The sequence below is a fragment of the Homo sapiens genome, chromosome 6, assembly GCF_000001405.40.
Source record: "Homo sapiens chromosome 6, GRCh38.p14 Primary Assembly".
In the NCBI taxonomy this organism is placed as follows: domain Eukaryota; kingdom Metazoa; phylum Chordata; class Mammalia; order Primates; family Hominidae; genus Homo; species Homo sapiens.
In genome coordinates, this window is record NC_000006.12 from 51,397,993 (window position 1) to 51,424,233 (window position 26,241).

A 26,241-nucleotide genomic window follows, 5' to 3' on the forward strand; every position below is an offset into this window, starting at 1 on the left:
GTTCTTTTGGTTACCAGATCCACTCTTCTGTTTGCATGGATCAGCATCCTACCTATTTTTCCAACTCCCAAAAGTATTAGAAGCCACAAGCACAGCTCGCTCCATTTCTCTTCTCTTTTTATGCCTCCCCTTTTCCTTGTAACCAGTATTATCCATGGGAGAGGTTCCACATGGGATTTTCCAAGAGGCCAGGCCAGCTTGACACACAGGGCCCTTCCTTACTCAGCCCAACCGCAACCCTCTTCCACCTCCTGCTTCCCCTCATCCTTTTGATTGTGTGTGCTTTTCCCTTTCATTACTGCTAATGGCTCTGAATGGGTCTCTTGTGCATAAGGAGAGACAATAGTCTTCATTTAATGGTATTATTTACAATAGGAAAAATAGTTTTAAAAAGAGAAAGTGGGAGAGACAGTTATAGCAAGAGGCTTGACTGTGAAGCCTCTTTTATTAGGGGTCTGGCACCCTCCTCACCTTTTCCTGGCCATCAGCCAAGCTCTCCTTCACTCCAGAGCGGCCCTTGAGTTTTGCTACAGTTTCCGTATGATGCCACAGCAGCCAGGCTCTATGGTGTGACTCATTTCCGCAGCAAGAGTGCTCCAGTACATTAACAGCTTTCTCTTCTTTGATCAAGTGAGACCAGGGCATCCATTCTCATGGCCAGTGTTTTCATATGATTAGTCTTTTCCCAGGCACACCTGCATGGAGGACAGAAGGCTGCCTGTAGAGGAAGCTGCTGAGCCTGATTTCATTGGAAGAGTAGGTGAAGAAGGGACAGCTGAGACCCCGGGGCTACTCTGGCCCAGGCATGGTCCTTGTGAGAATTTGAAAACTCTGTCTTCTTTGAGCCAGTGGATTAGGAAGAGTCGCCTGTCTCAGTGGACACAGCCCTACAAGCCCCCCACTGAGGTCCACACACACTTTGCACAAATGCAGGACTACATGCAGCAACTTGAGCAGGATTTGATGTCTCTACCAGCCATTTGAGCTTCAGCTGACAATAGCAGTGACATAGTGCCCCGGCAGAGGGCATGGTACCTACGCCCAGACTGTGTCTAGAGTTTGAATCTCGGGTTTACCATTCGTTGCCTGTGCAGGTCTATTATCTTGGGCAAGTTATTTACTTGTTCCATGTCTCAGTTTCCTTATCTGTGAAATGGTTATGCAATAATAGCATCTAATTCAGAGGTCACTGGAAGGATTATGTGAGGAAACTTACAGAAAGAATGCAGAACAATGCCAACCATAAAGAAAGCTCTCATCAAATGCTGTCTGTTGTGACTTATAAATAGCAAAGTGCTAAGGTAACCTAGACCTTAGCAAAAATTGAAAATTGCTGATGTTACCTCCAGGAATTCCAGCCTTATCCTCTGTACTTTTTTTAATTATCTGAATTCTCCCCATTTTTGAGTAAAATAACCAATAATGACTGACCTTTACTTTGTGTTCATTATATGTCAGACTCTATGTTAAATACTTTGCAAATATGATATTGTTTAATCATCCCAACAACTTTCTGAAATAGGTTCTTCTATTAACCCTGTTTTTCAGATGAAGAGCTTGATGCTCATAGAAGCTGAGCAACTTGTTTAAGGTCCAAAAGCCAGCAAGTGGCTCAGGTGGCATTTGGGAAAACCTCTTATCTGTATAAATATGCATAAATTTAATACCTTAAGGTATTGCTTTTTTTCTTTCCTACTTTTGTGTCGTAAAATTGTATATTTCTTAATATTCCTGCTGACTCCTTTCTGAAAGCAGAGATCACAGTATGGCCCCTTAAGACCTTACAAATAGTTTGGTATGACTGCCTATTTAGAAATAAAATGAAAGTGGTAAACTTATAAATGAAAACATCCTACCCACAATGGTATGAGTTTAAAATAAAGTATAATGAATTGCCCCTTCCAAGGGGCACATTTAGTGTGGAACAAAGAAATCAGTCACATCCTCTCAAATGCCAGCGAGGCTGGTGGAGATGGGTTGAGGCTCTGTGGGTTGCTCAGTGTCTTCAAAATCAAAGCATTATCAGCCATAACCACTTTTGTGTATTTTTAAGTCTGGTTCTATCTTGTGTCCTCGCTAGTTTTTCTTTTTCTTTTTTGTTTTTTTGTTTTTTGTTTTTTGTTTTTGTTTTTCGAGACAGTCTCGCTCTGTCGCCCAGGCTGGAGTGCAGTGGCACGATCTCAGCTCACTGCAAGCTCCACCTCCCAGGTTCATGCCATTCTCCTGCCTCAGCCTCCCAAGTAGCTGGGACTACAGGCGCCTGCCACCATGCCCAGCTAATTTTTGGGATTTTTAGTAGAGATGGGGTTTCGCCGTGTCAGACAAGATGGTCTCGATCTTCTGACCTCGTGATCCGCCCGCCTCGGCCTCCCAAAGTGCTGGGATTACAGGCGTGAGCCACCGCGCCTGGCTCATGTCCTGGCTAGTTTTTCAAGTAACACCTATTAGTATTAGTATTAGTATTTTAATATAGATAGCTTTGCTAACAGACTATATTTTTCTCATTCCTTTCCTAGACTATTATTTTATTTGTCTCTTTCTTATTTTATTTATTCAATTTTCTTCAAATTGCACCATTTGTTACCTAGCCTGAGGGAGCACTGGCTATTAAAACTGCACTAATAATTTTAATTGACTTAAAATTATGTAAGAACAGCACAGCAGCCAAGAAGTATGGGGCCTCCAAATAGGTGCAACAGCAGAGAGAATGTGTTGAACAAAGCAAGGTGGCTTTAGGTTCTGAACCCCCAAATTCAGCAAGACGTTACTGAAGAGGAGATGGTCTCATCGGGAAGTCCATATGGGCCACATTGCAATGCAGTTATGCTTCTATTTTAGCACACATTATAGTGGAAAATTTAAGTTTCCAGAACGAACCATTGGGGCAAGAGTGCCATGAGGTGCAATTATTTACTGTATAAAAGTTGTCTCCGTTGAATATACCCTAAGAATATTTAAAATTTGATTTAAAAACTATTTAAACTATTTATACTTAATTGTTTCAGACTGTACCTTCACTATAGCATAAAATGCATCTATACATATCTATACCTCTGACTAACCCTGTTCTAACATCAAATCTAACAAGAAGTTTAAAACAGAATAAAGAAAGTAAAGGTGGTGGAAGTATCTACTGTATGTCAGAAAGGTAATTTGTATGTGGGCATCTGAAAAGTAGTGAAAAGACAATTGCCTTTCAAACGATATTGGGTGGCTGTTGTAGTCTCAATTTTTCTCTTCTTAAAGTGGGAGAACACTGATACCTGATCCAGCAACCTTTGTAAGTGGAAAGAGATGATGCATGAAACAGCATTTTGACTGTCACAGTGCATGACATATTTATGAGGAATTACATGGCCATGCTTTATGGAAGGTATATGTGTTCTAGTGTCAGCTCCCAGAAAGTGGAGCCTAGTGGAGTAATTGCACCACACAGGCAATCTTAGCTATAACATGATGGCAGCCATCTACTCTCCTTTAAGATCAAGCTGGAGAAAAGTATAGTTATATAACATATTGGAAATCTTAGGGATTATTACATACAACTTGTATATTTTACAATGGAAAAGCTGAGAGCCAGAGAATAGTAAGTACTGGCCCAATGTCACCACCTAATTACAGGCTGTGGCAATAATAGAACTCACATCTCTCAATGGTTCACCATATGGTTTTCTCTGCAATATCATTGTCACTACTTAAAAGTAATGTGACATCTTCATTTCCTAGCACTACTCCTCATTTCCATTTTAGTCAGGACATATTACCTAACCGATTTTGGAGGGAGTTGTACATTCATGTGCAGTGCCACACAAATGGCATACAAATTATTTCATCTGAAATACAGGCTCAATTGCATATTATGCTAATAAAAAACATATATCTCATCAAAAGCTATCATGTAGTAACATCAGTATATAACTGATGTTATAGAAATGCAATACCTTCCCAGTAGATAACTGATGTTATAGAAGTGCAATAGGATTTAGGATTTAGTTCTGCCTTTGTAACTATTTCCTACTCTTAGCCATAGTGGAAAAGGCCCACAGTCTCCTTCTAAAGACCTTGTAGTACTTAGAGCATACCTCTATTAGATCACACATTATCTCCAGCTGTCAGGCTGGCAGCTGACAGCTATCAACTACTGTATCTCTAACAATAAGCACAGTACCTGAGTACCTAATAAATGCTAAATTAAACTTTGATGAATGAAAGAGGAAAATGAGTAAATGGACAAATTTAGAAGTGATAGCCTGTTGGGCTGGGGTTGAGGCAAGATTCAAGTCTTGGGAAGGTTATGATAAATCAGACAAAGTTCTTATTTCAGCAGGATCTTTTTCATTAGACTCCTCCCCACTAGGACCCTTCTTGAGTCTTGAGTACTGAGCTCTTGATTGGAACCTTGATAACAACTCGCTACTGCTATGTGACTTTAGAAAGCTCTGCTTCTGTAATATCCATCTTATTATTTTAAAAATAAAGTGCCTGAATCTGATCAGAATCTGAGTTGCTTGTTAGTCTAGGCTAAGGCTGGCGGATTAGTCATACATGACAAAATGATGAAATGGGCTGGGGAGACACAGATACGATGAATACAAGCATTGAGAAAAGTCTTACCGGAGGATGGGTACAAGAGATTGTATCATGCTATTCTCCATACTTTCGGTATGTGTGAAATTGTCCATATAGAACATATAAATAAGTTTTGTTTTGTTCATGAGCAACTAGGCCTATGAGTAGAAGTTAGAGCTAGAGCAGCAAAATATATTGAATTTGGGAATTGGGTCTGTGCTAAAGCAGCACCAAGAAGAATGTCCCATGGAGACATACTGGTGTCTGGAGGTGCCACTGACGTTCTCTTCTGTTGACTCCTGTGCCTTTCAATGCAGTCTTCACTGGAGTTGGAAGCTCAAGCTTGTTAGGGTAGATCCTGCTCTTTCACTCCAGTACTTTTGTCACCCTCCATCCCCTGTAACTTTGATAACCATGGACAATGACAGTGATAGAACCTTGGGTCAGGTTGGGGGCTCAAGTTGGGAGGCTTGGTTACTTCCGAGTTGGATGAGGATTTTTGCTTATTTCAGCAGGATCATTTTCATTAGACTTCTCCCCACTAGGGCCCTTCTAGGGTCTTGAGAACTAAGCTCTTGATTGGAATCTTGATAACAACTGGTTACTACTATGTGACTTTAGAAAGCTGACCCAGCCTCTGTGGTCTCCATCTCATGATTTTCAAAATAAAGTATCTGAATCTGATTGGATATTTCAAAGGTATGCCTCTACTCATCAACATTTTACTATTCTTTGTTGCTGAGCACAGATTTGGTCTGAACATTCTTCTCAATGTAGTATGACAACTGGCAATATCTGGCATCTCTATCAAATAATTTCTGAGTTCCTTTTAAATGAGCATGTTAAAATACTAAATGCCCATGTTCTGGTTTCTTGTATATTTTAGAATTTGTGACCTCTGGTCACAAATTCAGGTGACTGAAATTAGATGATTTTCTCCATATAACTTTAGATCTTAGCTGATTATATTGTTGTTTACTACATTCAAAAATGAATTCATACCATGTAGTCTATCAAAGTTATCTATCCATTTATGTATTTATTAAATAAATATGGAGTCCTCACCTTGCATCCTCTCATTTCCTGGGTAAATAAGAAGCTGAATTAGACGACGACCTTGTCCTCTGGGAGCTTTCAATCAAGTAGGAAAAATAAGGAAAGACATATGAATACTTAAAAAATCAGGCAAGATGTGATAAATGACAAAATTGAAACATAGATGAAATGTTTCGGAGTTTAGGAAATAAGAAAATATTTCTCACTGGTGTAAATGTATATAAAATTTAAACATGAAAAATCTATTAGAAGCCCTTTTTGTCCATCTGATGCAAGAACTGGCTTCCACAAATGATGACCAGGAGCCTGTCATTATCCAAAAGGAGTGATTTGATAGTCTATACCAAACCTGGATATGTTCTACTGACTTTTCTGTTGTTTTTCATAAACTCAAAGAGACAAAACTGCTCAGATATATTTTGCAAGGTTACTTGCTACAGCTTGAATTTTATGGGAGCTGGCATTAGATTACAGAGTAAGCCATACAGCTGAGGAGCAGTTAAATGTGGTACATCTGTCTTGGCTTCTAATAGACGTGCACTGATGAAAGTGGTGGGCATTTGAAGGAGGAGTATCTGTACTCTTTCTGAAAGTGAAAGGCTTAGTGCAAGATTTAGTCTGTAGTCTATAGTACACATTAAAACTTATTCCACTGTAGTATTTAAAAACTTGACACTGGTTCCATCTTTTCAATGAAGAAATATACACGCAAAGAACTGAAGTGTATTTCTTAAGTAGCCACTTTCACTTCATAGAAAATCTTGGACCAGAAAGCACAATTCCTTGTTTTCCAAGCTACCACAAAATCATAATTTCTACTATTAATTAGGTCTGTTTTTCTTTCCATTAACTTAAATCATCCACCATCCCCCACCATCAACTGATCCAAATTTTTCAGACTGCAGAAAAACTTATCATACAATTGTTCATCAATCTATATTGTGAAATAGCTGATAATCCTTGCAAGTGTTGCAAGCTTTGTACAAGAGCTAAGTCTGTCACTTTTTATTTGTGCTGTCTTTCCCACCTGGAAAACTTTGATTATGGGGCATTTCAAAGGGGCCACACACCAGGACAGTTAAAGAGGGTTAAATGACTGTGCTTAACTGAAGATTGTTTAGGTGCAATTCTAAATGCTCACTGTATGCAATGAACAAAATAAGGCTTAATTAGCTTCCTGGAAGACTGCTTTTATTTTCAGCTTTTTCTTAAAAAAAAAAAAAGAGCTCACATTAGCAATGTTTTGGAAAGTATTTCCTTTATATATTTAATTTCTTGCAATGTGGTATCAATATGTTCCCTTTAAAGTAAAAAAAAATTATTGCCAATAACTTAGTTTCATGTATTGAGATAGCTATCACATCCAATTTCTATATGCCTGTGAAAGATACCCCCCAAACTACACACAAATGATATAATTTCATAAATGTAGATGCACCTAAGTAGATATGAAAAGGAGGGAAATTTACAATTATAAAAATACATAGCTAGAAAGCCTCATTTATCAGAGATAACATTGAATTCTATAGAATACCCTGGTGCCTGCTTTCTGCACCTGCACCCAATAGACTGAGCATGAAAATGCAAATGAACAGGAGGAGTATACAGTATGACAAAACAGGAGTGTAGAAAATGCTTGATTTCATGCCTGCCTTCTAAATAACTCTGAAGTTTTAATTTATTTTCTTAACATATTGAACAATGGTGACATTTCTAACAAAGCACATATAATTGGACCAGAGTAAAAATAAATTAGTGTGTATAAAAGGAAGACGAAGCCAACATTTTCTTGGTCTCTTGACATTATCTACCACTGTCCAGTTCCCTGTTGTTTTCCTCCTTTCCTTTGTTTCAATTTAATTCTATCCAGTTCCAGAAGCATTAATGGAGTATATGCTGTGTGCCAAGCACTAGACTTGGTACAAGAGCTCTAGAAACAAATAAGATGATGCCCATGTTGCCAAAGAACTCAAAGGTGGAGGAGAGGAGCTGCACTTGCCTCACTGTACCATAGTTTACAACAAAAAAGTGAATCCAAAAAGGATTCGGAAATGGAAAGTGAAGATGGCTGTTAGGGCAAGTCTTTCCAAATGAATAGATACATGAAACAAGTGTTCAGGGATAAAAGGTACTTAGCTGGAGGAATAAAGGAGGAAACAGCATTCCAGAAAGGTATAAAGTAGAGAGAGAATCCAGGTTTCCAAAGGAAATGTAAGTAGTCTAGTGAGATTATAACGTAGACTTTAAGGTAACAAACACCAAATTATGAGCAGGGGAAAAAAAATATGGGATCCAGAAAATAAATAGGAAAAAATAATTTTGAAAGGTGTTGGGTAATCACAGGTAGAAGTGAATGCTGAATGAATTACACATAGGGCTCACATAATTTTTAAAGGATATTTAGGACATTTCTAACGATAACCAACTGAAAATAAAGCTCAGGCATAGTCGTCAATTCAATGATATGGACTGGGTATCACTATGTACCAATACAGTTCCTGGTCCTGCAAGAATGGAAGTGAGCAAGATGAGTCGGATCCCTGCTCCAGTGGGGCTTATGGGCTGGTAAGGGGAACTGACACTAAAACTAAACAGAGAGATGAACAAGAGAGTCTCAGATCATGAAGACATGAGGACAAGTGGCACAAGGTGAGTGATCGCCGAAGAGAGTGCTTAAGGGATGCCGTTTCTGAAGAGACTTTTTGCACAGAAACTTGGATAAAGTGCAGAAATTAGATGTTGGAAGATCTGGGAGCAGAGTTTTCCAAAAGGAGATAGCATAATTGACAATTGCAAGCAAAGCGAGAAAGGTAGCCTGACTAAAGCAAAGTAAGCAAGGGAAAGAGTGGGAGGACAAGAAGTCAGAGAAGTTGGAATGGAGCAAATCATAAAGGGCTTTGCAGGCCATGGTAAGAAATTTGAACTTTATTCTCAGTATAATGGAAATATTGATTAGTTTTCATTGGAGGGTGCATATGATCTTATTTGAATGCTCCCTTTGCTTTGTTCCAATATTTGTGGTCACATCATGTGCATAGAATCCACATCCATCACGAAGGATCTGCAGACTATGTTTCATGTGTTCAAGACAGAAACAATGCCTCTATGTGACTCTACAAAGATGACTACTATCACTTCCTTTCCTTTCTATGTACACGTGTTGCTCCTAATGTCAAGGGATAGAGCCCCGTTTCCCTTTCTTTGAATCTAAGCTGGATTTAGTGACTTGCTTGACCAATATAATGTGGCAGAAGTGATGGTCTGATTTTCAGAGGCTAGATCATAGAATTTCTTACATTTTTCACTGGATCTCTTTGGAAGCTCCTTTTTGGAACTCTCCCCCTAAAATCCCAGCTAACTCACAATATAAAACCTAAGCTACAAGGAGGGGTCATGTTTAGGGCACCTCAGTGGAAAGCTCCAGCTGAGGTCCCCGCTGACAGCCAGCATCAGCTGCCAACAGTGGCTGGACTGGATAAACATCAAGTCCAGTCAAGACTTGAGATGACTGTAGTCCCAGCCAACATCTGACTACAATTTTACAAAAGTCCCCAAGCAAGAACTTCTCAGGTGAGCTCATCAATTTATGAAATATGGGAGATGTTAACAAATAATTGTTTTAAATTTGGGGTGGTTTATAATGCAGTGGTAGTTGATCAGAATGGTCTCTTTTTTTAAAATAATTTAATTACAAGTAATTGTTTTTGAATAATTTTTTAAAATTACAAACAAAAAAATCAACCCATTCCTAAAATCACCCACAAACATAATAGAAAGCACTTTGAAAGATATACCTCTAAACACTCTAAAATGTGTACAGTCTCACATAAATGAAATATTTTAACTGAACTGGACAGGTTATTTCCGGGAATCTTTCTTCCTCAAAATTAAAACAGAAAAACAGTAAAGTGAAGACACACAAACACACGCGCGCATGCACGCAACCCAAAGCAAAACCCATTCCACTACTGGAAATATTCCAGACAGGGGATTGCCTGAGCCATTATTTGTTTCAAATTAGTGATGTATTTATAGTACCTGATATACTCTGGCTTACAGCCAATTTTACGGAAAAAAATCCATTTATAAGTGATTCAAATAAATCATGATTCCTTAATATAATGCAAATACATTATGTAACCATTAAAAATGTAGGTGTCTAGATACACTAAAAAATGGAAAAACGCCAAAGAGACCAAGTTAAAAAAAACAAGGTGCAACTCATCTGTGTTTATGGTATGATCACATTTGTTTAAAACAATATACATAAAATGACTGTATATGCATAGAAATTATCTTCATGATACCCAAGAAAAAGTAATAGCAGTTACTGCTCCTGGAGAACAGAATGAGGATGTCAAGGTCAGATCCAAGAGTGACACTCACTTTTCATCTCCCCCTTTCTCAACAGTATTTCAATTTTATACACAAGCATGTATTATCTTATTAAAAGAGAAAATTTTAACAATGACAAGAAAAAAACCACAGAACTCATGACTGCCATCTAAGTGGCAAAGAAAGATGCCTGCTAAATTTGAGTACATGTTAATAATACATTTTATGGATTACTTTTCTACTAAAATCTACTAAAAAGATACTTAGGCCATTTCTACTGTGAACTTAAATGGCATAAAATATTTACAAAAGCCTTAATGCAAGCACATAAGCTAATTTCAAACAGATCTGGTTACTTACCCTCCAACCCTCACAAATAGTGAGAATTTTAGATGCAGATTTCTTGCTGAAAAGTCATACAAACCACTTCTTCAACCTACCCTCTGCCCCACAATCAGTTCCCTAAAGCACAAACATATGATACTTACAATTGATTTGAATGATTGAGAGAGAACTTAAGTCACCCTTGTTAAAACTGCACTTAAATGTTGCGACAAGCTGGAACATTTATCTTCCACTCATCTTAGACTCCATTATCACCAAGCGAAAATTTGAATTGGTGACTTATAGAATGATCAGACAGAAAAAATTCACCTCCAGGATTGGATGGAAGCATGAAGAAAATAATGCCTCATTTATCTAAATGGTTAAATGAATTTGCTAGAAATGATCAGTATATCTTTTTTCAATTCATAAAATGTCTTACTTAGGCCAGCCCACTGTTCCAACACATTATCTTCTGGCAGGCACTCTGTGAAGCTGTCCCACATTACTTTCTACTGCAATACCCAGGGACAAAGTGTCATAAAAGTAACAAGTGTCAAGTCTCCTTGTCTTTTATGTAGGTCTTTTAAAAATGAGGCACAGCGCCTTTTCCTTCACTTTGAAGAGCACAGCAACAGTATTTCCAAAATGAATCTGCTCTCCACAGGCCCTCCCAGCCCCAAATTAAAATGTTAAATAGTACAACAAAATCATCATAATATTCTTTGAACTTAGAAAAAAAAACCCAACTATTTCAAGGCACATTTAATTTAATATCAAGAGTGCAATACAAAAGGCCCAAATACAATGAAGGAACACATTCCCCCATTAACACCAACGACAATGCTCTTTCAAACATGTGCCTGTTGAATGGAATGGGGATTTCATAAAATTCACTAAAAAAAAATGCAGTGAGTCTCATCACAGCTAATATCCTTATACAATCTAGTTGTGAAATGAATGTTTATAATGCTTCAAACAGTTTCAACCTGAAGTTTGATACCACACCTTCATGTCTGTACAGTCCTCAGTAAGTTTATCTACAGTTTTTGCAGCCATTCAAAGAACAAACCATTGAATAAAACCACATTGATTAAGGCTCAAGCAAGTAATACAGAGCCCCAAACTAAATGGTTAAATATATGTGCTACTTGTACGGACATCTATTATTTGATTCTCTCATGACTATCAAAAGTTGTTTCTCAGCAAATAAAACCTTTAAAGGCAAAATTCACCTCATTTGAGTTTTGACCCAGAAGTACAACAATCATGAAGTCCACAGTCTTATTGGCAAAACTGATACACAGTGTCTCTAAGTCACTATGCTCAAGGTTAAGAGCGATGCATATTCCATTTTTACATTTTACTGGAATTTTACATTTTCACTTCATGATTTAAAATCTCTAGGTTTTCATTCCTTCAAACTGTCTGAAGACACAGTGTGCCACAGACTTAAGACTTCTGTTTCTCCCTCTATTTTCTTCAAACAGAAACATTTCTCAAGTGTCTACATGTTCTAGAAGGGGAATTTTTCGGAGGTGGCCACTTCTTCGGAATAGTCCGATGCCATCAGGCGTCTGAAGCAAGGGGAAGGGGAAAAGAAAAAAGCTGAAACACAAGGTTCATCTGGTAAGTTTTACATTAAACATTACAAGCTGGACAGTGTAAGAATGTGGCTTTTTTTTTTTTTTTTTTTGGCTCAAAAAGTCTGAGTCTTGGTGTGGAAACGAGTACTTGGTTGTCCCACCACAGCTTTCTCGTAGTGGGACTGTCAGGGAAGTCTTAACTGGGGAGGATGATTTGTTTACCTATCAGGCGTAAACTTCCAGGCACTCAGTTCATTTTGGGCTTGTTCCAGTTTGTCTTTAGTCTGTTCCAGTTCACCTTTCATTTTTAGGAAAAACAAGTTGATCGCTGGGTCTACCATTGTTGATCTCAGTTGGGCAACGCTCGGCTGCTGGACTTGCTTGAGGTACTGGATTTGAGTAGTACACTCTTGCATCTCTTGTTCCTTGGTTGCTAGTCGCATTACAAGGATGTTTTCCCTGCGTGCAGACTCTTGCTGTTGTTGCTTTAGTTTTTCTTCAGACTCTCTTAGGCCAGTTACATCATTAGAGTTTAAGATCTGTATACTTGCCCTCCAAAGCTTGTACGTATGCTTCATATTGTTTCCATCTTAGAATTAACTCATCTGTTGCCATAACTTTGAAGTCTGTTTCACTCAGTCGAACTTTCTTGGGAAGAGGTTCTTCTCTGGTCATCTTGAATCGAAGAGTCGCCTTTCAGGCATGGCGGGCAGTCACTTGCCCGCCGCCGGGCCCGCCAGGAGAGGAAAGGTGAAGGGAGGGAGCGAGGCCGCCGGCCTAGCCCGATCGGAGCCTCGAGGCGCAATAGAGCAGCTGCTCCCCGGTAACACGCCCCGTCCTTTCCGGGGAGCCTGGTGCGAGCTCCGCGGGCGCCGGAGCTCAGCAAGCCCAGAATGGTCTCTTTTGCTAAGAGTTCACGATCTATTCCAACCATTCTCCTGATGCCAAATTTGGCACTTCAGACATCACTTATCCCTCACTCTCTGTTTTTTTTTTTTTTTTTTTTTCTCCTTGGTTTTTCCTAAATTTCAGAGGTTTTCTTGTGAACCAGAAGCAGATTGTTTCTTCACATACTCTTGGCTTAAATTCAGGAATAAGTCAGCCATCCAGCTCCAGATATCCCAGAGCTGAGCTCAATGATCTCTCATAAGAGCCATGAAGAACACCTGATCATGAATTCTCTTCCACAGGGCATTCTGCTAATGCCTCCCCACCTCTTTCTTCTTGCAGTTTCAGGCATCTTCATTTAAGTATTTTATTGTTATTGTTAATCAACCAAATGATGTTCATCTTTATCGGCAGGCAGTTGGTGACTGCATTTTTAGGTCACCGTGATTCTGCAAATGTGTATATTTTATCCAGATTAGATAATCGTGACTGTAAAACACAGGACAGTTCATTGATTAATTGATCATCACAGAGTGAGATCTCTTCTTTTTAACATACCAAGGCAACTAAAGTCTGATTATGTCATTTGCTATCACATATTAGATTGGTAATAGTTTATAATTCGTATCTGTATATTACTTACTGCTTAAGTAACTGGTAACAAAAACTGTGTTCTTTAACCTTATTCTGAATCATCAAGTCAGTGAGCTTTAGATAAGGATAGCTATAAATGTAGCTCTTTCCACATCCATAAGCATGGATAAAGACAGGATTATGTAGAACAGAGAAAAATAAAACCCCTGACCTCACACAACATTAAGATCTTTTTAGGAAAAAAAAAAGGAAAAAGTAGAGCAGATATCCTGTGGAACCTTCGTGTCCTTCCATTCTTGGAGGTAAAAGGCTGAAGCCAATCTCAAACCACAGGAAACATTTTGACTTGGAGTTACAGTGACTGAGTTTAAGTCAACAATTAGCGCCAGTCGTCTGTTGGCTCAGCAACCCATATGGAAATCAGTCATAATAAATTATTTTCTATGGTCTTTCTAATCTTACACAAAGTAATTCTTTATTGCCTTACTAGGTTTATTAAAAAAGGATTTTGATGGCTCTAAATAGCTATCAATTAACTTTCTATTTCCTGTTATAAAATGTGAACATTACAATAGTCTTGAGTCACCCATGAACCCAAGGGAAAAAATCACTTTCGTCATCTGACCTCCTTTACATGGGGCATAAATGTGGCCTTTATATATTGCTAATCATAACCACAATAGGACTAATCATGTTCTGATACCAAGTTAACTTGAGGAATTAGAAGAGTTCTTTCTAAGTCTTTAAAAATCTGAATGCAACCCAGAAGTTACCCAGAGGAAGTCTTTTTTGGAGGGCTTGGTTTTGGCAGAACCGAGTCTGAGGAAGGGGCCTTCTGTGATTGGTGGCACTCTGGTGTTGCTTCATATGTTGCTCTTAAAAAATATTGAAGTTTCTGTTGAATTATTTTTCCTAATGATGAAAAACAGCTGAAATTAATGAATGCTGTGAATTTAAATAACATCACACCATTAGTCATAAATATCTCAATAGTAAACAAGCATATTACCATTAACATTTCAAATGATCAACAGAGCTGCTCAAGCTACACTTTTTTACTGGGCAAATTTATCAGTTCAAGGTTGGCTCATATTATTGTGCCTTGTCAATTCATATTATTTGGCTGCAAGATACACCAACATATTTTGTTTTGAATAACTGCTAGTTTTTCTAAAGTGATCTATTTGGGAAGGAGGTGGCCAGAGGGAGGACTGAGGAAATATAGTTAACCTAATTACAATATTGTGTTATTTTTCCTTTTAGTAATTTGTACAGGATGTCTTCAAATGTCTTTCTGTAAAGAAAATGTAGGCTTTTTCTTTATCAGTCAAAGTAAATGAAAATGCTAATTGATTTTAAATGAAATTATTTAGGTTAATTTTAATTTTTTGATGTTTGAAGGCAAAGTATCCCTATGCACATATAAATGGTGCAAGTCTGACATATGTAAGACTATTTGGTCAGATCACCTAAGTTTTATGAAGAAGGCTGTGTGGTGGGGGCCCTCAAAGGAAAGGCAGGGACTAATGTTTCCCCCACGGCATGCTGCTCTGCCTTGCTGCATGGGAGTCCCAGCCTGCAATTCCTTTCCCCCATTTGATGCCTTAGGGAAGAGCATCCTATTTTCTGTCAGCATCTGCTCAGGAGTAACCTCCTTTATGAGACCTTCCCTAATTTTAATATTTTGAGGTTTTCTACCACTCAGCTTCCAGAGTCTCAGTAGCATCTCTAGTAGTGGGCTCATCTGATATTATGTACATATCTTTCCCCTATCCCCTTCTTCTGACTAAAAAATAAGGAAATATTTAAAAAGTCTATGGCCCCCTTAGGGCAGAGATTGTATCTTATTCCTGTTTCCCTCTTTATATCCCATGGATTTAGTACTGGCAGCTGTAGATACTTCACAATGAAAAGGCTGTTCCTAAATGGAAGTCATTTTGTAGAAGTGTGATCTTCTTTCAAACATGGTTACTATGCTGGGAAATACTGAAATTTCTTACCATTTAAACCAATTACTTGTATGATTCTCTTATCTGTCACGGTTAACCTTTGTTCATAATGTTGAAAGGTTTAAATGCCCTATGAAAGGTGATATGGTTTGGCTGTGTCCCCACGCAAATCTCATCTTGAATTGTAGTTCTCACAATCTCCACACATCATGGAGGGGGGATCCAGTTGGAGGTAATTGAATCATAGGGGTGGTTGCCTCCATGCTGTTCTCATGATAGTGAGTGAGTTCTCAAGAGATCTGATGGTTTTATAAGGGGCTTTTCCCCGTTTGCACTTCTCCATGCTGTCACCATGTGAAGAAGGACGTTTGTGTCCCCTTCCACCATGATTATAAGTTTCCTGAGGCCTCTAAAATCATGCTGAACTGTGAGTCAATTAAACCTCTTTCCTTTATAAATTACTCAGTCTCAGGTATGTCCTTATTAGCAGCATGAGAACAGAATAATATGAAAGGGATGAGGCATAAAAGTATAAGAATCATCCCTCCCTAAAGTTGAGCGAGTAGAATTTTTCCAAATAGATAAATAATACTTCTTAGTTCGTTGATCATTGATGTACATAAACTGTGCATGCTTATTTAAAATAAGGGATGACATAGATAGGTTGTTTTTTAACATTAATGTGTTGTAGATTGGCTGAAATACTTATTGAAAATGCAGATTCTCATTCATCAGGGCTAAGTGGGGCTCAGCCATGTGCATGTTAAACAAGGATTCCATGTAAGTCTGACAGTGGTGCCAGCCAACTGTACTTTGAAGACACACTACTGTGGATGAGAAGCTTATGTGCTTAGGAACTAGTTTTCACATATGTTATTATGTACTTCTGTATGACTTTTTTTTTCTCTCATCCGCTTAGAATACAACATCACCAGGACAAAGACCTGATCTTTTACTTTCTTCTCAACTCCATTGCACTGAATTCAGCACTCTACCCTTATGGTACCCTCAGGGCAGGCATGGATGGAAAATCCTTTCAGTTCTTAGTTTATATGAGGCTGGGAGAAAGGGTGAAATCTGAGGTGGGTAACAGAACACAGAGGGCTTCACTTTTCTCAGGTGTCATATAAATATTTCTGGTTTTTAGTATCTGCACATACTAACAGAGCAGACGAAAGACAGTACTTGTGAGTCAACACACATTTATGCCCATCTTCATAAAATGCCACTGCCTCAGACAGCATCAGGGCTGTTGATCCAATATCAATCTACTGGCACCCGTATATCACTGCCATGCTTAAAGGCTGTCATTCCTGGAGTCAAGCCTTACCTGACTCCAGGGATGAGCCTGAACTCTGATCCTCACTGATAGGCTCCTTGTGAGGGGCTCCTGCCTTTCTTTCCAGCTTCAACTATTTTACCTGCCTCAGATACACCACTGTCCAGCCATATGTGACTTCTTGGAGGTTCCCTAATATTGTAATGAGCTCTTTTGCAGTGTCCATGTACATACCACCTCCTACCTAAAAGGACTTTACAACTTTGAGTTCCCTGTTAATGCCTACTCAGTCTTTAATGCTCAATTCCATTATCACCTCCAATGGGAAGCCTAAAGTGACAAAGCCAACTGTTCTGATGTGTTTAATTTCTCTCTTTTCAAATGCTCATCAGGCTATCATAAAAAGCTAACACTAGCTAACCTCAAATATATTAGCTCATTTAATTGTTTTAACAATCCTATGAGGCATTTTTCCATTTTACAGATGAGTGAACTGATGCATTGAGAGGTGAGGTAACTTGCCCAAGTCTACACACCAGTAGTAACTAAAAGAGTTAGGATTCCAATTGATGTAGCCTGTCTCTTGCCCCAAGCTCTAAACATTTACACCACAACTAAATAGTCTTTTACTTGTGTGCCTTCTCTACTAGGTGAAGTATTCTTTAAATACAGGAGCCATGTCTTATGTTTCCCAGGATTCCAATTTCCTAGAAAACTGCCTAGTCCACAGTAGATATTCACTTATGCGTGATTCGATAAGTCCTTTAATGAAATCACATGACTTTCACCTTGGCCAGAATTGCAAGGGCAGTGGAAGCCACACACACAAAAAGGCCTACTTGAGTTATCCAACCAGAGCCCATTAAGACCACCTAGTTACAGCCTATGAGGGCTTCGGAGAGACTTTTAATTTCTACACTGAAGCAAGAAATTAGTAAAATGCAATAAAACGCAACAGTAACTTACTTGCAGTTGGCTTCCAGAGCAGAGATGTCAGCTAGGAATGACTTGTTCTTTTGGACTCATAACTATTTCTGGATTTCTTTGTGGCAAGGGACATTAGTTTCACCTCATGTGATGTGAGGCAGTGATGGGCCTAATGATCAAAGTGCCAGTGATGCTTTGTGCTCAGAGGCCTCTGACTATCATTCCTTCCCGTCAATGTTCCCAGATAGCACAGCCCAGTGCAATTTCAGAACAATTCGGTCTTCTGAGCTTTTAGCTTTGACCTTTTAGCACATGCCTGAACTTGAAGGTGGCTGTTAGTTGTTCCAAGCAACTGAGCAACTTCATTCCTAACCAAGCACATACTCCATGCTTTTGGGTCAGATAGACCTGGGTTTAAATTACAGTTTTACCATTTACCATGTTTGAGTTTAGACAATATGTAGGGGTTCTTTAAGCCTTAGTTTTCTTGTCTCTAAAATAGAATAAACAAAAATATTCACCTTATAGGGTCACTATGAGGATTAAATGACACAATTTGTATCAAGCATTTCTGTGCAAGGTCACATGTCTTACAAGGCTGGGTCCAGGAAGCAAGTTCAGTTCTTTTGATCCCAGAGCCTGAACTCACAGGCCTTAGTCCCACAACACATGTTCAACTTGCTTAGATGGATAAATGTAGGCTATCCTCATTGCTTTTCATGGTAAACTTCTTTTTTATCCCGCTCCAGTGGACTCTGCCTTCTGGCACCACCACACCACAGCAATGTCTCTCTAGGTGGTGAATGATGATAGTTGACTATGCTGACAGTTCATATGTCATCAACTATTCTATTAATTTGCAGTGTTCAAACAGTTTGAGTTTCTGTCTTGTTTGCCTGATGTGCTGAGTGGTTTGGGTTGGCAAGATGACAATGCTCCACAAATTCATTTAGATTTAGCTCTCAAGCTGATGGGGCATTCTTTCATCAATTGGGGTGACTTTCATTCAGTTAACCAAAAGAAAAGAGCATGGAAAAGTGTCAGGGTGAGGGTTCTATGGACATGACACCATAGTGGCACATAGCACTTCCACTCACATTCCATTGTTAGAACATATACAATATGAACATATAATTGTGAGGCCAGGTAAGGGAGGAGAATGTTGACTTTCTTGAACACCTAAAACTCTTTGCAATATTTATAGGAAAAAATAAAAATTATTATTAACTTTAATTTTTCTAATATCAGTTCTCAGTGTACCTTTACAGCCCCTTTGGAACTACCTCTGTACTTTCCCACCATGTTGTTTTTATCAGACTGTTTATTCTATTTTAAATAATTCAAATCACTTTCTTTCATCTAAACCCCTTTAAAGGAAAAGCACAGTGCCAACTCTTTCACTGTTTTCTTTCATGCTTTCTCTCAGAAGGTGGAGGACAAAGGTGAACAGCTAACTTTTTCTACCTTAGGTCACTTAAGATCAAATTATAGCAAGTTAGGGTAGGAAGAGGCCCTAATAATGCTTAGCTCAAAGTTTTGTTCATTTGTTTGTTTTACGTTTTTGTTGTTGTTGTTGTCACTTTGCATGGAAGAAGAAGGTAAGACCCAGAGAGATAAAGGAGTTGCCCAGGGCTGAACCACAACTGGAGACCAAGTCCATTGGATTCCATTTTTAGTCTCTTACTGACACCTCATGTTGTCTCCTTTTGCTGTAGGGCCAGCCCTATATGGGCAATTTTACTCATTATTGTTTCCAGAATTTCTCTAATTAACCTAAAGTGTGTATTAAAGCAATAAAGTTTTGAAGTTTGTAAAAGATACTGCCAGTAAAATCTTCCTTGTATAAACTGACTGATTAAAAGATTTTTTTTCCTATTTCTGCTTCATAATTCCATACATTTTGAAAATCACTTAGTTTTTCCTGGTGATTTCTCAATTTCAGTGAGAATGAATGTGTGTGTGTGTGTGTGTGTGTGTATATATATATGTATATATATATGTATAATGTATATATATAATTGTATATATATAATCTTAATTCTTGGCAATTGCATTTAGTGATAATTGTTTTTGTGCATTAGTCCTAATCACTTTTTAAGCAGCAAAGCCTATTACTGTTACAGAGTGAGTTTCAGATGCCCTGCAGATTTGAGTAATTTGGGGTAATGCAGCTGTGTGTGGTAAAAAGATTTTACAATGCCTATAAAATGTTGCCTCATGACATGTTCAGCAGTGAATCTGTGGCACCATATAGCAATTTCAGGGCTTTTCATTAAATACCAGATACCATTTACATTGTGCAGTTTTTAAACAAGAGCCATCCTCTGAGATTAGGAGAATCTGCAAGTTGCAAGGCATTTGGGAGTCCTGAATACATGGAAGGGTCTTACAGATATTTTTCTAGAAACAAACACAAAAACAACAAACAAAACCAAAAACATTCCACGAGAGAATTGTATTTTATCTACATTGTTCTCAGCTGCATTGAAGGGTATTAGCACTTCTTTTTCCTTTTCTCATCTCCCCAAAGATGATCAGAAGATCTGACTTGCAGCAAGTAGTTTGCCTGAATATACAGTTTCCCATGAAAACAGAACAAGAAGAGAATGGGCAAACCACAGTGGATTGTATATTATTTCCTTTAAGTGTTTGGAATCACCTATCTTGGCTTCGACTACCTTTGTTGTTATTGGAAGTTAACAGATATAATTATTAAGTCAATTATTTATTAATTCAAATAAGTTACACATATTTATTTAGTCACAATATGTGCCAGGCAAATGGTTACAAGCCCAGGATAAACAATGACTATAAAAAATAAGATCAATTTTTAAAAAATTGTTTCTGTCCTCAGAAAAGATCAAAGAGTTGTAGCTATAAATCAGAAGCTCTGGCTTCTAACCTAAAGTCAAGACTCAACTGGACATTTTTACTTGCATGTTCTAACATTGACTTAAACTCAGTCCATTCAAATCAAAGTTCATTATTTTTGCTGAAACCATCTTTTATCTTTGACTAAAGAAAATTATTGTATTCTATAACAGCAAAGCACCATATAAGTGTTTGCTTTTTATTAGTGTTATTAATACTAGCACTAGCACATTAATATTTAATACTAGCATATTAATAATTATCTAAGACACACAGAAAATAATATTTTGGTTTTTTTAAAGTATTTTCCTCCTTTCCTTTCTTTTTAATGATTTATTCATTTCAATAGGTTTTTGGAGGAACAGGTGGTGTTTGATTATATGAGTAAGTTCTTTAGTGGTGATTTCTGAGATTTTGGTGCACCCATCACCCAAGCAGTCTACACTGTACCCAATGTGTAGTCTTTTATCTCTCATCCCCCACCCACCCTTTACCCTGACTCCCCAAAGTTCATTGTATCATTCTTATGCGTTCACATCCTCATTGTTTAGCTCCCACTTATGGGGGAGAACATATGATGTTTGGTTTTCCATTCGTGAGTTACTTCACTTAGAATAGTGGTTTCCAATTCCATCCAGGATGCTGCAAATGCCATTATTTTGTTCCTTTTTATGGCTGAGTAGTATTCCATAGTGTGTATATACATTTTCTCTGTCCACTTGGTTGATGGACATTTGGGCTGAATCCATATTTTTGCAATTGCAAATTGTGCTGCTATAAACATGCGTGTACAAGTATCTTTTTCGTATAGTGACTTATTTTCCTCTGGGAAGAAACCCAGGAGTGGGATTGCTAGATCAAATGGTAGATCTACTTTTAGTTCTTTAAGGTATCTCCACACTGTTTTCCACAGTGGTTGTACTAGTTTACATTCCCACCAACAGTGTAGAAGTGTCAAAAAATACCAGATGTTGACGTGGATATGGTGAAAAGAAAACAAGATTTTGGATTCATCAGTTTTCCAATTCCCAAGTTCTGTCAACTAGTGCAGGCTAAGCACATCCTTTCTGGTAGAGTGTATTCACCTCTCGATGTCTGCTGCCTCCAGTCTGCCTCCTTTACTAATCCATTCATTATTCTTTACCATGTAGTCTGTTTCTCAAGCTTTGCGATATCATCATAACTAGGTCACAGACTCTCAGATTTCAGTTCATACATCTTCAGCCTCTTCTCTTAGCTGTGATGAAGACTAATATAAGTTAGGAACTGAAAAATGAGTTCAAGTTCAGGCCCTGATTCTAACCAACTGTGTAACCCAGTGAAAGTGGAACAGCTTTTGAACCTCAGAATACTCTTCGGTAAAATAAGGAGAATAATTCAAAACTCAAGAAGTTGTACTGAGAATTAAAAAGAAAAGAGTATATTTAAAAGTCATTTATGAATGTAGACCTCACACAAATGTAAAGCTTAGTATTATGCCCCATAGTTTCTAGCTCAGCACAATAAACATTAGTAGATTAATTGATTGGTTGATTTTAAGGGAATCTCCCAAATACACTAAGGCCCTGGAAGCTTACAAGCAAATATTTGCTTTTATGTTGAAGGATAAAACTTTGAAACTGGTCCTATTGCTCTCTGACCAATTTATTCTCTGAACAGAAATAATGGCGTACGTTCATTCTTAATCCTGATGCAGATACCTCTGTGTGTTTTCTAGAGTTTTGCATTGTATGTCATACTTACAATACTGGGATTTTGTCTTGTAGCTCAGTTAGGTTTCAGGATATTTTAGAAAGAGAATTGAACTTTATTACTTTTTTAATCAATTTAACTAAAATTTATTGAAGATACATGTAGGATGTGCACATATATATTATCTGTGCCATGTAGTGATAAATTCTAGAAATACACAGACAATTTGAATGTATAAATTCTATCCTCCAGGAGCATCCAGTCTGGTAAGGGAGTTATATATGACCTCTTTGGATTCCAGAGACCTACTCATATTATTTGCTGTGTTTCCATGTGCATATCACTTTACCTCTCTGAATCTAAATTTCCTTAATTATTAAATGTGATTACTTCATGGAACTATATTGAAAATTAAGTATGCTAGTATATATCTATCTGACAGACACACAGAGAGATAATAAATGCTCGATTATTTTCCTTCCTTCATAATTTCATGTAAGTTAGGCCTTAACTAAACAAATAGGTGACTGTTCCAGTTTGGAGAAAGAGTCTGACCAGCAGCCACAGACACCATCCTAACCAAGATAGTTTTACGCCCTGTTCATCAGGCCCCCAGTAATATTAATATAATGCTTAGTATTTTATTGACTGAATAGCATGTGGCAGGAGCTTTATATGCATTATCTTAAGTCTTTATGACAACTCCAACATGTAGAAAGTATCCGCATTTTCTCAGGTGACAAATTAGGGTTGAGGCATAGGTATGAAGGGAGGGGGCTGTGGAAACTGACTGCTTTAACAGGAATCCCAGAGCTACCTATAATTGCTATGGGACTGACCTTGGATAAGTTTTGAATTTTCAAAACTTGAACATAGCCACTTCAGTAGAATGACAGAACCTTACATAAAAGGGATGATGAGATTAATATGGCAGATGGGAGGCAAGACTGTCTGGCAGCTTCTACTCAGTCAGATAGAGTAGCATGTGGAGACCCACACCTTGAACTTTTGCTCCAAGAACTACCACAGAAACATAGCAGGAAAGCCGAAAGAATCCACAGATCCTTGAAGGAACTATATCACCACTGCAGGCTCCCTGAGATGCCAAAAACTGTGAGTCTGCTTGGTTTCTCAATGGGGAGGCTTGTGGTCTGGGGCAAGTTCTCAGCCCTGGTCACCAGCTGCCTGGAAATATACTTGATGATGTTAGGGGAGCACAGTGGTAGTGAGACTGGCCTTTAGGACTATGAGCTGCGTGGGAGCAGAGTGAGGCCCACGACTGCCAGCTTTTGCTGGAGACCTGTATGATACAGCAGAGGAAGCCATAATACCCCTAGGAATATAACTCCATTGGACTGGGAACCACACTTCTATGCCCCATAGCAGCCACAGCAAGCCCTGCCCAAAAAGAGGCTGAGCTCAGACATGGCTATCCCTGGCCCCACCTGGTGGTCTCTCTCTACCCACCCTGGTAGTCAAAGACAAAGGTCTTAATCTTTTGGGAACTCCATGGCCCTGCCCACCACCTGAGAAACCTGAATACTTAACCAGGTGTCCCTAGAGTGACAAAGAAACAATAGACTTAAACTGTACCCTACAACAAATGGATTTAACAGATATTTACAGAATATTCTACTCAACAACTACAGAATATACATTCTATTATCAGCACATGGAACATTCTCCAAGATAGACCATATAATAGGCCTCAAAACAAATCTCAGTAAATTTAAGAAAATCAAAATTATATCAAATACTCTCTCAGAACACAGTAAAATAGAATTATAAATCAACTCCAAAAGGAACCTTCAAAATCATGCAAATACATAGAAATTAAATAACTTGCTCCTGAATGATTGTTGGGTCAACAATGAAATCAAGATGGAAATTTAAACATTCTTTAAACTAAATGATAATAGTGATACAACCTATCAAAACCTATGGGATACAGCAAAAGCAGTGCTAAGAGGAAAGTTCATAGACTTAAGTGCCTACATCAAAAAGTCTGAAAGAGCACAAATAAACAATCTAAGATCACACCTCACAGAACGGGAGAAACAAGAACAAACCAAACTTAAACCCAGCAGAAGAAACAAATGACAAAGATCAGAGAAGAACTAAATGAAATTGAAACAAAAAAATACAAAAGATAAATGAAACAAAAAGGCAGTTCTTTGTAAAGATAAATAAAATTGATAGACCATTAGCAAGATTAACCAAGAAAAGAAGAGAGTAGATGCAAATAAGCTCAATTAGACATGAAACAGGAGATATTATATGAACACCTTTATGTGTATAAGCTAGAAAGCCTAGAGGAGATGAATAAATTCCTGGAAATATACAACCCTCCTAAATTAAACCAGGAAGACATAGAAACTCTGAGCAGACCAATAACAAACAACAAGATTGAAATGGTAATTTAAAAATTGCCAATAACAACAAAAAAATGTCCAGGACCAGACGGATTCACAGCTGAATTCTATCAGACATTCAATGAATTGGTACTAATCCTATTGACACTATTTCAAAAGAAAGAAAAAGGGGGAATCCTCCCTAAATTATTCTTTGAAGCCATTATCACTCTAATACCAAAACTGGGGAAGGACATAACAAAAAGAGAAAACTACAGACCAATCTCCCTGATGAACATAGATGCAAAAATCTTGAACAAAATACTAGGGAATTGAATCCAACAGCATATCAAAAAGATAATCCACCATGATCAAGTGGATTTCATACCAAGGATGTGGGGATGGTTTAAGACACATTTACATTAACAGATATTTACAGAACATTCTACCCAACAACTGCAGAATATACATTCTGTTCATCAGCACATGGAACATTCTCCAAGATAGACCATATGATAGGCCACAAAACAAATATTGGTAAATTAAGAAAATCAAAATTATATCAAATACTCGCTCAGACCACAGTAAAATAGAATTAGAAATCAACTCCAAAATGAAGCCAACTTATAGGTCAATAAATGCGATACACCACATAAACAGAATTAAAATCAAAAATCATATGATCATCTCAATAGATGCAGAAAAAGCATTTGACGAAATCCAGCATCCCTTTGTGATTAAAACCCTAGGCAAAATCAGCACACAAGGGACATACCTTAAGGTAATAACAGCCATCTATGACATACACACAGCCAACATTATTAAACAGACAAGGATGCACATGTTCACTACTTCTATTCATCATAGTATTGGGAGTTCTAGTCAGAGCAATCAGACAAGGGGAAGAAAGAAATAAAGGACATCCAAATCAGTAAAGAGAAAATCAAACTGTCGCTTTTTGCTGATGCTATGATCGTATACCTAGAAAAAACTAAAGACTCACCCAAAAAGCTCCTAGAACTGATAAATGAATTCAGCAAAGTTTTGGGATACAAAATTAATGTACACAAATCGGTAGCTCTGGTATACCCCAACAGTGACCAAGCTGAGAATCAATTCAAGAACTCAACCCCTTTCACAATAGCTGAAAAAAAAAAAAAAAACCTTAGGAATACACCTAATCAAGGATGTGAAAGACCTCTACAAGGAAAACTATAAAACACTGTTGAGAGAAATTATAGACAACACAAATAGAAACATATCTCATGCTTATGGATAGGTAGGATCAATATTGTGAAAATGACCATGCTGCCAAAAACAATCTACAAATTCTGTGCAATTCTTACCAAACTACCACTATCATTCTTCACAGACTAAGAAAAAACAATCCTAAAATTCATATGGACCAAAAAAGAGCCCTCATATTCAAAGCAAGTCTAAGCAAAAAGAACAAATCTGGAGGCATCACATTACCTGACTTCAAACTAAACTATAAGGCCATAGTTACCAAAACAGAATGGTACTGGCATAACAAAAGGCACATAGACCAATGGAAAAGAATAGAGAACCCAGAAATAAAGCCAAATACTTACAGTCAACTGATCTTCAAAAAAGCAAACAAAAACATAAGGTCAGGAAAGGACACCTTATTTAACAAAAGATGCTGGGATAATTGGCGAGCCACATGTAGAAGAATGAAATTGGATCCTCATCTCTCACCTTATTAAAAAATCAACTCAAGATCGTTCAAGGACTTAAATCTAAGACCTGAAACCATAAAGATTCTAGAAGATTAACAGCGGAAAAACTCTTGTAGATGT

The 26,241-nt window shown here is 37.9% G+C and overlaps 1 long non-coding RNA gene and 1 pseudogene across 1 annotated transcript; both read right to left on the reverse strand.

The window, feature by feature from the left end:
- Nucleotides 1–328: 328 nt before the first annotated feature.
- Nucleotides 329–10,687, reverse strand: LOC105375085 (uncharacterized). Its single transcript, XR_926868.1, has 3 exons — nt 10,449–10,687; nt 5,635–5,700; nt 329–695 (listed from the first exon to the last, which is right to left on the reverse strand). It is a non-coding gene; the product is annotated as an uncharacterized LOC105375085 (long non-coding RNA).
- A 1,204-nt stretch (nt 10,688–11,891) lies between these two features.
- On the reverse strand, nt 11,892–12,745 carry WTAPP2 (WTAP pseudogene 2; annotated as a pseudogene).
- Between the last annotated feature and the right edge of the window lie 13,496 nt (nt 12,746–26,241).